Source organism: Homo sapiens, chromosome 2 (assembly GCF_000001405.40).
Source record: "Homo sapiens chromosome 2, GRCh38.p14 Primary Assembly".
Lineage (NCBI taxonomy): Eukaryota > Metazoa > Chordata > Mammalia > Primates > Hominidae > Homo > Homo sapiens.
In genome coordinates, this window is record NC_000002.12 from 37,256,553 (window position 1) to 37,271,717 (window position 15,165).

Here is a 15,165-nt window from a genome sequence, read left to right on the forward strand (position 1 = left end):
ACTAAAAAGATAAGTTGCAAGAGACAGACTGATTTGGGATGAGAAAGATGTTTAGGCTTAAAACACATAGCCAAAATTTTTTTTTTTTTTTTTTTTTTTTTTTTTTTACCTTCACCAGAAATTTCTCTCCATGGATTTGGTGGGTACATAAATGCAGCATTTTGGATTTGGTCATTTATATCTTCATCCTCATTAAAAGGAAATGTGCCACTGAGGCTCACATAGATGATAACTCCCACTGACCACATATCTAGGGAACGGTTGTAACCTTTGCTCCGGAGAACTTCAGGGGCTAAGTATGCTGGAGTTCCTACCACAGATCTCCTGAATGACTTTTCACCAATGATGCGTGCAAATCCAAAGTCACACAGCTTCACCTGGAAATTGAAGGATGATGTTAATTTTGTATTATAGTGTTATATATGTAACTACCTGTCCCTAAATATAACACTGTATGTATCATTTCAACATACTTGCCAGCTCTACTGATTATGAATATTAATCACAGATAAGGAAATTGTAAAATATCCTTTTCTCAAAAGGCAGACACATTTATAGCCCTGTGATCCTGACTGACACAGTATGAAGAGCTTTCCTAGTACATATTTCAAAAGTTCTAGCTTCCAGAATACCAAATACCAGACTGGTGTTATAAGTGTTCTGATTTCTTATGAAATAGAGTATGCTGCTTTCTATCATTTGTCTTGTAAGATCACTCTTCCATCATCTGTGAGCAGGAATTGTTTCATTTCTGAATCCTTAGTGGCCTCACAGTGCCTGGACACATAAAGGTACTCAATGTTTGCTGAAGGAAAAATAAGTTACAGTATTAGCCAGGTGTGGTGGCTCACACCTGTAATCCCAGCACTTTGGGAGGCCGAGGCGGGCGGATCACGAGGTCAGGAGATTGAGACCATCCTGGCTAATGCGGTGAAACCCCGTCTCTACTGAAGATACAAAAAAATTAGCCTGGCGTGGTGGCGGGTGCCTGTAGTCCCAGCTACTTGGGAGGCTGAAGCAGGAGAATGGCGTGAACCCAGGAGGCAGAGCTTGCAGTGAGTCGAGATTACGCCGCTGCAATCCAGCCTGGGCGACAGAGTGAAGACTCTGTCTCAAAAGAAAAAAAAAAAAAAAAAAAAAAAGTTACAGTATTTAAAAACATCCCTTGTTTTGCTTAATCCTAGAATCTCTTTTCCTAAGGATGTTATAAACTGGCAAGTAAATAAAACTGAGGTGTATTAAAGGTAATTTTAAATGGGGACACCAGTGGAATAATGCTGGAGACTGCCCCAGTGAGTAACAGCAACACTTTTCTATCACTGTGGAACAAATTATTTCTAGTTAGATGTTTAGATTTGAAAACAGTTATATGTAAAGGGAGCCATAGTCACTACCACATCCTCTCAAAAGAGAGTTCTAGAAGTTGATGAGCTTGGCAGAACTCAGAACACTTATCTTGCTGCCCAGATTTTTCTAGAGGCTCAAATCTGGGGGATTAATGACCACATCCATGCTGAACAAGCAAATGCCAGGTACTTTCTGGAGGAAATGCTCTGACTTAAAAAATGTCTTTAGCAAAAGCATTAATATAAATTGAGAGGAAAAAGATTTAAGCTGTAGAAAACAGTGGTACAAACAGTGCCTAGAAAACGAAGTGAAGTTATCAAATGCTGCTATTTCTGGGATGGTGGACTCTGACACATATTTTTATGAATGATATTTGCTCAAAATCATTACTGAATCTGGCTGCTTCTCGATTTCAGTGTCTTTGAAGAGTACGAATACTGAGCCTGAAGAAATACAAACTCTTTTTTTGTTGTTAAATGCCAGATTTCAGCTAACATCTTGATAAGGTAAAGATGACTTGGAAGTTTGGCAACTGATTAAAGAAGTGGAGCCATGGCTAACACTTGAGCATAAAAAGCGTATCAAGTAAATCACATTATTTTCCCTTTGCTTCTCATTGGAACACTGTGGATCACTAAAATAGAGGTCAGAAAGTGGGAGTTTTAATGTTACCAGTAGGAGTGTGCATCTTTTGTCTACTATTTTGAAGATCAAATGAGATAATATATGGAAGCAGTTTATTTAAAACATTGCACCAACTATCAGGCAACCCTTTCGACCTCAAAATGATAGGGAATCACTTTTAACCACATAAACATAAAAAGAATATGATTACTACTTTAAAAGCTGAACGATTTTTAATATATCTTTTTATTTGAAAAGACAATTTGAGTTATATTTACCAAGTGAAAACACCTATCTGTTGTCCTTAGTCTTGCCATTTGTCTAAATGTACATGTTTCAAATGTATATAAACAATAGTTTGGCAACAGATATTTGAGCTGATCGGAGGAATCATCCTTGCCAATTATGGAAAATGGCTGCAGGGTACCACCACCACCACTTATTTCTCAGGATGGTTGTTTCAGAATTTGGGTTATGATCCATTTCATAGGTCATGCAATAAATTTAGTGGATCAAGATGAACACTTGGAAAAAAAAAAAACTCAACTGAATTAAGAAAAATCAGAGAGTGCTACATGTAGCCAGGACACAGAAGCACGATGCCATTGTGTGTATGTGTGGTGATGAGAAATGTTATTTTATGTAGGTTGTTTGAATACAATACTCTACATAGAAAAAGGAGGTGGCTGCCTGCCTCAACCAAAATCTATCTCCCATTTCCAGTAACACCCCATTTGTTTTATTTATGAGGTATTTATCCTAAGTACCATGCACCAACCAAGGTTGATACTTGCTCACTTCGTTCCCAGCCCCTGGGGAGAGGTGAATTGCAGAATCTATGTGCAGTTAAATCTTAAAAAATCTTGAATATAAACAGTATAACTAATAACATCTGAATTCATTTAGTTATTAATCCTCACTGGTAGTTACAGGCTAAAAACTATTTTTGTAAGGTGGTATGCATTTTTAACCAACAGTACTTAGTACACTGCCTTTTATTATGTGGGTGCTTTGAAAATGTTGCCAGAATCATTTAAAAGGTTCTGGAGAATATCTCACCTGAGGAAATGGCTCTGCTGATGCAAGCAGCACATTTTCTGGCTTTAAATCACAGTGCACAATATTCTTAAAATGCAGATTCCTCAAAGCAACAAGTATCTGTTATGAAAAAAGATTTTCTTTTCAATGTCTGGAAAATCACAAGTAAACCTCATGTGACTCCTTGAATGATTTAATTTGAAAACTCCACTATAGTTCATCAAGACTTAGCTAAAAGTGTGTTATTCTGCTCCTTAAGGTTAACAATTCCCACAATCACCCAACATGTAAAAGTACTGCTATTTAATTATTTTAGTTTTTAGCTGGATACAGTGGCTCATGCCTGTAATCCCAGCACTTTGGGAGACCTAGGCAGGTGGATCACTTGAGGCAAGGAGTTCGAGACCAGCCTGGCCAACACGGTGAAACCCCAGCTCTACTAAAAATACAAAAATTAGCCAGGCGTGGTGGCACACATCTGCAATCCTAGATACTTGGGAGGCTGAGGCATGAGAATCACTTGAATCCAGGAGGCAGAGGTTGCAGTGAGCCAGATTGCACCACTGCACTCCAGCCCAGGTGACAGAGTAAGACTCTTGTCTTAAAAAAAAAAAAATTAGTTTTTAATCGCTAGTTTAAAAAAAAAAAGGAGTTAAAATACCTGTGTGACCATGAATTTAGTAATTCGTTCTGGAAGCCGACTTTTCTCACTGGATAGAATCATTTCCAACATATCTCCATGCAGCTTTTCCATTACTACAAAGACTCGTTCTGGGGTTTCAAACATACATTCCAGGTTTACAATCCCAGGATGGTGCAAATTCTGAAGAGAGGTTGCAAGATACATGAGCAACTTAAGCAGAGAAACAGTTTTACTAATATCTAGATGTGCTATGATTGTCTGAAATGGCACAGAAAGAAAGCCTAGAGAAGTAAACAAAGCAAACAAAATAAAAATTACAATCAATGAAAAGGATCTTAGGTTTTAATTCTCCAAGTTGTGTACTGGAGAGTAGCCGCACTGAGGGGATAGAATGTTCTCCTAATTTGATTATATAATCACTCTTGTCCATTACTACTACTTTTCCTTCCTTCTCACTTGAAAAATCTGACACTGCTCTAATTTCATGCTTTCCCTGAATAGGCACCAACTGCCCATAAATTTTTAGTCAATTACACAGAAACCTTTGACTCTTGGGGGCTGTATTTGTGATGGTATTTGCTTAAGAGTTTTATTTCTAAGGTAGTTATTTATCTAAGTCTTGATTCTTATAATATTATAATCATTAATTCCCTTTTTTTAGGCTCAACATCTCTACCCACATTATCATGTTTCTTGATCACAACTAGGTTACAAGGGTTGGAGATACACAAAGATGAATGCCATACTATTTATGCTTATAAAAAAGCAATTTATCTTTTGTTCTACTACAGAAAATCCTTCCTCAAAAACAAATTCATGAAGTCAGCCTTGCTCAAACACCTTCAGTGGCTCTTTATTTCTGGACATAAATCTAAATTCCTTTGTCAACATTTTGAGATCTTCAATAACCTGGTTTCAGTCTTCCAATTTAATCTTAAATATGTTCTACTGAATGAACCAAGTGCTTAAACAATTTTTATTCCTTATTAATAAAGATACAGGCTGGGTGTGGTGGCTCACGCCTGTAATCCCAGCACTTTGGGAAGCCGAGGCAGGTGGATCATTTGAGGTCAGGAGTTCGAGACCAGCGTAGCAAACACGGTGAAATCCTGTCTCTACCAAAAATACAAAAACTAACCAGGTGTGGTGACAGGTATCTGTAAACCCAGCTACTCGGGAGGCTGAGGCAGGAGAATCACTTGAACCTGGGAGGTGGAGGCTGCAGTGAGCCGAGATCATGCCATTGCACTCCAGCCTGGGAGACAGAGCGAGACTTTGTCTCAAATAAAAAAAAGGCCGGGCGCGGTGGCTCACGCCTGTAATCCCAACATTTTGCGAGGCCAAGGCAGGCGGATCACCTGAGATCGGGAGTTCGAGACCAGCCTGACCAACATGGAGAAACCTAGTCTCTACTAAAAATACAAAATTAGCCGGGTGTGGTGGCGCAAGCCTGTAATCCCAGCTACTCGGGAGGCTGAGGCAGGAGAATTGCTTGAACCTGGGAGGCAGAGGTTGCGGTGAGCTGAGATTGCGCCATTGCACTCTAGCCTGGGCAACAAGAGCAAAACTCTATCTCAAAAACAAAAAAACCCAGACGGTCCCCAACTTAACAATGGTTCAACTTACAATTTTTCAACTGTAGAATGGTACAAAAGTGGTATGCATTCATTCAGTAAAAAACGTATTTTGAATACCTGCACAACCATTCCGTTTTTTTGAGTATTCATAAATTACATAAGATATTCAACACATTAGTGTAAAATGGTCTTTGTGTTAGATGATTTTGCCCAACTGTAGGCTAATGTAAGCGACTGTGCTTAAGGTAGGCTACACGGGGCTAAGTTGTGTTCAGGAGGTATTTTTATCTACTTAGTTATTTTCAAACTTAAGATGGGTTTATGGAGATATGACCCCGTCGCAAAATGAGGAGCATCCTGTACATTTTTCTTTAGCTTTTTTCCTTAATATGGCTAGCTGATTATGCTAGGGGGACTCACATGTTTTTGGCCTATGTGAGGCTGAGTTCCATGTCTAAGATGTTTCTTGAAGCCTTAATTTTAGCCCACATTCTCTCTCTTTGGGACTACTGCAATAGTTTCCACTGTATTGTAATAATGTGTGTATTCTACTCCATTGTTTAATAAACTCTCTGAGGCACAGATTGTTTCAGTTATTTTAGCTCAATATCTGCATCATAGTAGGTGTTTTCAAAAATGTTTAGAAAGTGAAATAACAACAAATGCAAAATAGACTTGTTTGCTAATCATTTTAAACCCATTTTATGAGATCGTTTTCCAAGCAGCAAAATACAAAATGACAACATTTTATAGTAGATAAATGAAACTCAAATACCCCATAGTGGTGGGGTGTGACAATGGCAATAAGCAGTGTAAGATTCAGAATATTATAACTTTTATCAACAGAGGTTGAAATGTGACTGTTTTGCTAGGCCATAGTTGGCTGGCTCTATGCTTTTTCCCCCCTGCCCTCCTTTAAAAACACGTGGACACACAAAAATAGAAGTATGCTGTAACATTATTTTTCTCCCTTAACAACTTCCTCTATTGGTTTACATTTTCTATTTCCTCTGGAGTATGTTTTAGTAAGTTATACTTTCATTGAGAATTACCCATTTTCTCCAAGTTTCCAAATTTATCTGATAGAGATGAGCAAAGTATCCTAAGATTCCTTCCCCCCCCCGTATTTGTGGTTATCTCCCTAAGATCATTTTGTATATTCTTCTTTGCTTAGGATGGCCATTTTATTTTTACATACCTCCTCCCTTCCCCCACACAGCAAACCAGCTTTTGGCTTTATTATTTCTTTTCTGTATTTATTAATTTTCATTTTTGATCTGTTATTCCTTTCTGCTTTCTTTAGGTTTATTTTATTGTTCATTCTTCAACTCCTTGAGTTAGATTCTTAATTCACTTATTTTCATTCTTTCTTGCTTAATATTTGAGGTTATAAAGCTTTTTCTGAAAGACAGTACAAAGGCGCTGATATATATGCAGTATTTTCAGGTTTTCTAAATATTCTGAAATTTTGATTTCGCTCTTTGATTCAAAAATTAGTATTTTAAAGTTTTCATGTAGGAGCTTGTTTTCTGATTTTGTAATTTATTTCTGCTTTAATGCATTGAGATCAAAGAATACTGTTTATACGACTGCTTTTTTGAATTAATGAGGCATTCTTTGTTTTTAGGGTACAGAGGTCAGTATAATCTGCTTAGATCTACCTTACTATGTTTAGACCTTGTACGTTCTTAATTATTTTTGTCTACTCCATTTCTCATGGACTACTGATGTGTTTGTCTGTTTCTCCTTGTTTTTAGTTTTTCTTTATAAATGTTTATGGTGTTATTTGGTGTAGTATGATTTTCACTCTTCCACTGTTAAAGTGGCCTTCTTTCATTTCATTTAATGTGTTTTCCCTTGAGTTAAATCTTATCAGATCATGACCCTCAAATGGCTTTTTGTTTGGAGAAGGGACCTTTGGAGGACATAAGGGCTGCAGATTTCAGAAAGAATCAGCAAAAACAGTTGTGTTGTCTCTTCCTGAAGAGACATGCACCTCTGCTTCATCTTCACTGTTGTTGGAAATCTACATGATTTTATAGTTTTGAATTCTCATCTTTTTTTTAAAGTATGCTCACTTCTGTTAATCATTTTTCTTATAGCTTTGGGGTAGCTTCCAAGATGAGAACGGGAAAATGCTGAATTTACACCACAATGTTCAAACCAGAAATTTCCCTCTAGGTTTTTGATAACGTTTTCTAATTACATAGGTACCTACAAGAACACCACACCTTTTCTCCCACTACTCTACTACCCTCTTCAGGCAAGACAGCAAAAGAAACATTTTACATTACCACATAATCTAGGAAACAAAAGGAACCTCCCCTCCCCAATTTTTTTCCTGCTCTACAACATCCTCCCTAGATGTGGCCAGGTTGACAGTTTATGTAGGCATGGCTCTTTTTCTGTGTAACTGTATATAGACATACATAATGTACACATTACTTTAAAAAGTTAAAGGGAGTCATTCCAAAGTTTTTTTCAATCTAACAATGTATTGTAATTTCCCACATAATACATTTATTCATTAAATATTAAATAAGAATTTGCCGTGTACCCAGTACTATGTGGGTATTCTGGATTCATTATTAAACAAAACTTGACAAAGATGCCTTGTCTCGCAGAGCTTATAAATTGCAGCAAGGTGAGACAGACAATGGGAAATAAAATAGTAAATTACCTAGTATGAAGGTGATAAGTGCCATGGAGAAAAGAAAAAGAGTTAAGGTAGGGGAGTGGAGGGGTGGGAGGGTGGGTTTAATGCTGAATAGAATGTGGAGGCTTCATTGAGGAAATGATATTTGGGCAAAATCCTGACGGAGACAAGGGAGTATGACATGCAGATATTTGAGGGAGAAAGCATTCCAGGCAGAGGAAACAGCTAATGCAAAGCCTTTTGAGACAGAAGCATGTCTGGCATGTTTGAGATATAGCAAGAAAGTCAACATGGCTATTTTTGGGGGGGAAAAAAAAAGACTCAATTTGTTGTGTATATTGTCTGCAGTGGGATCTTTTTCAAGTGATTTTGATTCACTTTCATAAAGAATAATCACAGGTATCTAAAAATGGGATGTGCTCATTTCTGTTAAACAGAATTACAAAGCCTGTCACCAAGAGCTCAAGAGATTGGATACTCCGGGATAAACTGTAAGGTCACTTCTAAATCAGTGATCCTGTGATTTTTCCTCCTTGCCACCGGAAAGGCCAAAGCTGTAGTCTTAATAATAATATGCGCAATCTTCACCCCATCTTTTCTCTAAGTATGTGGGCATGGGAAAGAAAAGCTATGGACGCCTCTAGGGATGCAGGTAAAGGTATCAACAGCAGGATGAACTACAGGAGTTCAGACAGCCTTTCAGGTTTGGGTGATGAGGGAGGACTACAGGTAAGAATGACACGGGGCAAAGATGGAAAAGGAAAGATGATACAGTTGGATGGGGAAGAGGAGAGCCAAAAGGTGGTGTGAGTGCGTTTAACAGTGTAGTAGGTTACTTCCAACCCATGTGAAAAAGTTTAGCTGTGATGCTCACATAACTAAATCTTATGAAACTAATTTCAGTAAATGAGGTGTGATTTTTAAAAAGATTCCTTTTAAGAAGTGTATTTCCTACATGAATTCAGATTGTACTAATAGAATATTCTAGAATATCAATATTCTATATGAATAATATTCATATACAAAGTTAGCTAAAGTTCATCTTTATACTACACACACACACACACACAAACACACACACAGAGTGGGTCAGTCCAATGATGTAAAGTAGAAAGTGCATATGGTTTGCAGACAGACTTAGATTCAAACTCTGAATCTGCCTTCCTGCTGGGTGATGTTGAGAAAAAGTACTTAAGTATAAATGCTGACACCACAAGGAAAGCCAAATATAAAAGTATAAATATCTGACATAAACAATTTGAAGAGAATCTACAACAAAGATAGTCTTGTATTAAATTTAGTATGAAAATAGCATAGAGACATCCTACAATCTATTCCCAGTTTGGGCAATATTGATGAAAGTAACCAAAATGATATAATAATGAAGTTTTTCATACTGTGCATTACCTGGTTATTCCTAAATTTAGTTATTATGATCCATAGCTGATAAGAGGAAAAAAGCTTCAGTGCTTACTCAGAGCTGTGTTTGTGATCAAGAAGAAATCAATCCATAGGAATATATCCTTAATTTTTATTGTTTCGCTTACTAGTTGGACAATGAGGGTTCCAAAATTAGATACGCAAAAATACCTGACAACATATTCATACTATTCATATTCAACAGAGTATGAATGCTATTAATATTCTATTTAAAGGTAGCTTTATAGGAGGAGACAGCCTTGATATGACCACAGGTACCTACTTGACCACAAGCTTTTTGATTATCATGCCTCTGAAAAAGTGAGGTAAATGTTACTATTAGCAACAAGTAACATAATAAATGTAAAATGAATCATTTAAGTTTCTTACCTTCTTCAAGGAAACTCAAGTTCAGAAGGAGGCTGTCTTGAATTTCACCCAAAGCAAATGGGGCTCTGACAGCATTAACCATTTTTTGTTGTTGTTGAGACGGAGTTTCCCTCTTGTTGCCCAGGCTGGAGTGCAATGGCATGATCTCAGCTCACTGCAACCTCTGCCTCCCAGGTACAAGTGATTCTCCTGTCTCAGCCTCCCAAGTAGCTTAGATTACAGGCATGTGCCACCACACCCGGCTTTTTTTTTTTTTTGAGATGGAGTTTTGCTGTTGTTGCCCAGGCTGGAGTGCAATGGCACAATCTTGGCTAACTGCAGCCTCCACCTTCCAGGTTCAAGCGATTCTCCTGCCTCAGCCTCCTGAGTAGCTGGGATTATGGGCATGCGCCACCGTGCCCGGCCTAGTTTTTTTGTATTTAGTAGAGATGGGGTCTCACCATGTTAGTCAGGCTGGTCCCGAACTCCTAACCTCAGGTGATCCACCCGCCTTGGCCTCCCAAAGTGCTGGGATTATAGGTGCGCACCACCTCACCTGGCCAGAATGAGCTATTATACGACCATGATTTCTTTAATAATATGCAAAAACTATATAACGTACATTTGCATATTATAAATTATTTATATGATATTCAGAAAGTGATCCAAGGATCAAGCTAAATTTTAATCTTCTAGATGACCGCCCCCAAGGGGTAAAAATGCTAGATGAAAAACACATAGGAATTTATGGAATTGAAATCATTGCCAATATATCTTTAAAATACGCCCCAATCGACTAAGCCATTACAAAATTAGAGTTTTTAATTAATGAAATAAGTGCTGTTAAAAGGTACATAATTTTAAAGCAATCTTTACTTGCACAGTAATTGCTATGACAAGCATGTCACCTGTGAAAACTGGATGGGTAAAACAGCAACCTTCTGACAAAATGTGGCAAAGTATCCTAAGTATTTTAAGCTCCTGGAATGAATTAAGAATGAAATTTTACTTTTTTAAAAAAGATTTTACTCACGAAAATGTGTTCTAAAACTACTACCATAAAGCAAGATATTGGCAGTCCCTATAATGCCTATATTACCATAATCTAATTTTGCCTTCTTAAAAAAAAAAAAAAAAGAGAAGCAGTTAATTCAGATTCTTACCAGCCTCTTTAATAAACCAGTTTTTTATTTTTTATTTTTACCTGTAAAATAGCCACTTCATTACGGAGTTGACTTTCTTGTTTTGTGGGGAATCTCATCTTATCAATTACTTTAATAGCCACATCCCTCCCAGTCTTTCTATGTTTTCCTATTAAGAAAAAAAGAAGAGGAACGAATGAAGCAAACTGACAGCTTTATTAGGGAGTTGTCCACAGACTGAAATTTATATGTATTTACTCTTGAATTTTCTTTTTGGCTCATTTTTGTTCTTTCTCCACACTCCTTCACTCACCTTTAATTTAGGAAAAAATTGTTTTCCCCTCCATACATAATATTTGCCCCTAATAAAGTCAGCTGCATTATCTAAACAGGAGAAAATTTGAATGAACTTGTTGCTGAAAAGTAATCTACCTTGTTAAATCAATGATAGTTAATTACCCTGACCTAGTCCTTCAGAGACTCTGTCAAGATGGAAATACTGTATGAATGAATCAATTTTATTCTAGATTCAATGAGTCAGCACAGAGTGATTTAACCATGTACCCACAAACTCTGGGTGTCTCTATATTCTAGAATCTAGATATAAAAAATTTATATTTGTCTCTATATTCTAGAATCTAGATATTAAAAAAAGGTAGAAGTTTATTATAATGAACAGTCATTCCCTCATTTATTAATTCAAATTAACTAGTTATACCTATTATGTACTAGGTATGCCTTTAGATGCTACAGATTAAGCAGTGAAAATGACAGGTATATTTTTGGTATTTGTTCTTCAAATATGTATCTGACTTGCTCTTCTCTACATAGCTATTTATTTTAGATTAACTCATTTGTCTCAATGGCACAATCGTAAGTCTACTTGAAAAGACTGAACAAATGTGTGCATTTTTGGTAAGAAGCCAAAGGTACCTCGGACAGTTCTTTGTTCCTCTGATGACAGGAAGTCCTCCAGAGATGTAACTACTCTTAAAACTGACAAATCTGAAGTTGCAAACCATAGATATTATATATGCATGCAGAGTCAACACATTTTCTAGGCGACTGCTTTATGTCACAATACTAGGTGCTAGGAATACAAAGAAGATCCAGACATCTCACAGCCAACGCTCCAATAAAGTTCAGTGGGAAGACAATAATGTAAACCCAAAGGGTAATAGATATTGTGAGAGAAGTATGTTGGGTAGCAGGAGTACCAAAGGGGAACCATGTTTTTATTTGATGGAGAAATAGGTACGGGGACAAGAAATTTCCACAGAGAAAGCCCTTTAGTTGAGCCCTGAAGTATGAAAAAATGTGCACTAGAAGAGACAAAGGGATGGAGAAGGAGCAGAGAGGCAAAGGGTATGGAGGCATGTAAACAGGACTGAAAGATAGAAAGCAAAGAGGAAGCTGCAATTAGATCTGAGGCTAGAGAAGCAGGGATAAATTACAGCAGCCTTGAAATCCTCTGCTAAGAAAACTGGCTATGAATCTGTAGATGACTGTGAACCACTTAAGGGTTCTATGTGAGGTAATACTAATATCAGATGTGAATTTTCTGAAAGATTGACTCTAAGAGTTGTATGAAAAGAAGGTAAGAATGGAGGCAGAACAGCCAACTAGGAAACTACTGTACCAAGTCTTAGCAAGGGATAACAAGGGTTTAACATTTCTTTCTTAGTACCTTTACATATATTAAGTTTAATTAATATTTAAGCCCTATGAGCTACACAGGTCAGGTTTTATTAGTTCCATTAAACAGTTGAAGATGCTAACGCACAGTAAGGTTAAATGACTTCATCAATATCCTAAATCGCAAAGTTGGATTTCAGGTTCAGGTTTTCAGACTTAATAGAACAATCATGCCAACAGTAGACAAATGGTGCCATTTGTGTTGGAAAACTAGTAGGGAATATACTTCAATGAATAAGCCCACTCAGCCCAACATAAACTTCAAACCATCTCCCCCCCTGCCTCCGACAAACATCTGTATGTGTGAGCTACAAGAAGAGATAAAACACACTGTAAAATTTTCTGATTCTGTTAATTTTTAAAGTTTGCAATGACATTAAGGGAAGAATACTCAAATTACAGTGAGAAGGATTTAGCTGAAAGATAACAAGTCAGCCTTTAAAAAAAAGGCACTGGACAAAACTATGAGATGACAAAACAGCTGGCAGATGTTTTACATTTTCCAGTTTTTAAAATAATGTGTACAATATGCAAACGGCTGTAGTTGCTTACCTCCATAAACGATGCCAAACTGGCCTGAACCAAGCACCTCATCTGCAAAGATCTGGTAAACAGTACTGATATCCTGGTAGGATAAAGTAAGGAGTTAGTATTATTTATTTCTATAATACAATGTCAACATCTCTGACTTTCTTCATCCAAATACTTCAATACATTTTTATGTTAGAAGCAGCTAATTTCCATAAAGTGCAAACTATTTTATGAAAACACAGGCTTTCTATGTTCTAATAAGAGGTTAAGCCCAAATTTTATGTGCAAGTATAATGTATTGTGCAAGACTTTCAGGAAAAAAATGCTTTGCATTTTAAAAATCTTGTATTTAGGCCTGGCGTGGTGGCTCACGCCTGTAATCCCAGCACTTTGGGAGGCTGAGGCAGGTGGATCACCTGAGGTTGTGTGTTCCAGACCAGCCTGACCAACAAGGAGAAACCCCATCTCTACTAAAAATACAAGATTAGCCAGGTGAGATGGTGCATGCCTGTAATCCTAGCTACTCGGGAGGCTGAGGCAGGAGAATCGCTTGAACCCAGGAGGCAGAGGTTGTGGTGAGCCAAGACTGTGCCACTGCACTCCAGCCTGGGCAACAAGAGCGAGACTCCATCTCAAGAAAAAAAAAAATCTTGTATTTATTAAGTAGTGATCTATAAAAGCAAATCTACCTAAAAAAAATTAAAAATGAAATTTTACCTATTTTACCTTTAAGGAGATTTGCTCTCATTGATTTTTGGAAAAAAAAAAAAAAAAACTCAAAAGTTCATATTACTGGGATTAGCCTAACTTTGAGAGACTGAAGAAAAGAATATGTATGAGAGAAAGTCTGTAACTGAAATCCATTCCTCTATCTTTCCTCACTGCTCTTCGCCCCCTTCCCTTTTTTTTTCTTCTTTGTAGTATTTGTTGCTGTCAGAACTAACAGAACTAATATACTAATTTGGGATGTTTACTGTCAAAACTGCATTACAGGTGTGACTGATGAAAGAAAAACAAAGTGGAACTTCACTTAGCAGACCCACACTTATAAAGACAAAGCCTCAGCCCTGCAGCAAAAGCCAGTGAATATGCATGTATATATGTTAAGTTGTAATTAAAATTTTAAGGTTTGTAAGAACCATTTTTATAAGCCTCCCCACTTTAATCTTTTTGTTTAACCAAATTTTGGTTCTAATCAGATTAGGAGGCATCCAATGCATATATAATAACTGCTAGGAAAGTGTATGTGTATGTATGTATGTGTATATATATTTGTTAAACAAAAGCCAATTCTGAATCCTTTTCCCCCATGACATGGATGGAGATATCCTCAGTTCCCATGGGATTATTCAAAATTTGAGTGCTCATGATTTTTGATATTCCTCCTTATCTCCCCAAGAATATGCTGTCTATTCTACCTCTCAACAGGACAAGAGACTCATAGATTATATCTCTGAAATGTTCTATCTCCAATAACACTACTAGAGTCCAATCTTCATTGCAGTCTTAGAAATCTTAACATTTACATGTTAGAGAACTATAACAGCTAAGTGCCCCAAGTAGAAAAATAGAGATTTTAATCTGAGAAATTATATATAACAATTTAACAATTTTCTGACTTCCTTTTCTAGCCTGTTTTCTCTCTAGTCCAGGGGTTAGCAAACTCCAGCTTGTGGGCAAAATCCAGCCTGTTGCCTCTTTTTTGTATGGCCCCGATCTAAAAATGGTCTTTAAATGACTGGACAAATCAAAATAATATTCTGTGACATGTAAATATTAAATGAAATTCAATTTCAGGGTCCATAAATAAAGTTTTATTGGAACACAGCCATGCCTGTTCACTTATGTATTGCCTATAGCTGCTTTCTTGTCACAACCACATAGCTGCATAGTTGTATATGGTCCACAACAGGGGTCCCCAAGCCCCAGGCCACAGACTGGTAACTGTTTGCGGCCTGTTAGGAACCAGGCTGCACAGCAGGTGAGCAGCAGGTTAGCAAGCATTACTGCCCAAGCTCCGCCTCCTGCCATATCAGCAGAGGCATTAGATTCTCAGAGGAGGGCAAACCCTACTGTGAACTGTGCATGCGAGGGATCTAGGTTGTGTGTTCCTTATGAGAATCT

The 15,165-nt window shown here is 37.3% G+C and overlaps 2 protein-coding genes across 13 annotated transcripts in view; one reads left to right on the forward strand and one right to left on the reverse strand.

Annotated features, from left to right (window-relative positions):
- Positions 1 to 14,813, forward strand: part of NDUFAF7 (NADH:ubiquinone oxidoreductase complex assembly factor 7) — a 39,708-nt gene extending 24,895 nt beyond the window's left edge. For 2 of the 4 annotated variants that reach the window (NR_146402.2, NR_146405.2), the window contains one exon: positions 14,035 to 14,813. The gene's annotated coding sequence lies outside the window, so the exon portion shown is untranslated. Of the gene's footprint in view, positions 1 to 1,763; positions 5,812 to 14,034 lie in introns of those variants that run through there. The other 2 variants (NR_146409.3, XR_007077548.1) reach the window with 1 other exon arrangement.
- Positions 1 to 15,165, reverse strand: part of PRKD3 (protein kinase D3) — a 74,332-nt gene that overhangs the window by 6,051 nt on the left and 53,116 nt on the right. For 8 of the 9 annotated variants that reach the window (XM_005264238.4, NM_005813.6, XM_047443853.1 and 5 more), the window contains 5 exons: positions 13,063 to 13,135; positions 10,878 to 10,984; positions 3,671 to 3,832; positions 3,031 to 3,129; positions 110 to 377 (listed from right to left, as the gene is read on the reverse strand). In XM_005264238.4, coding sequence (XP_005264295.1) covers positions 110 to 377; positions 3,031 to 3,129; positions 3,671 to 3,832; positions 10,878 to 10,984; positions 13,063 to 13,135 — 709 coding nt within the window. Of the gene's footprint in view, positions 1 to 109; positions 378 to 3,030; positions 3,130 to 3,670; positions 3,833 to 10,877; positions 10,985 to 13,062; positions 13,136 to 15,165 lie in introns of those variants that run through there. The other variant, XM_047443856.1, reaches the window with a different exon arrangement.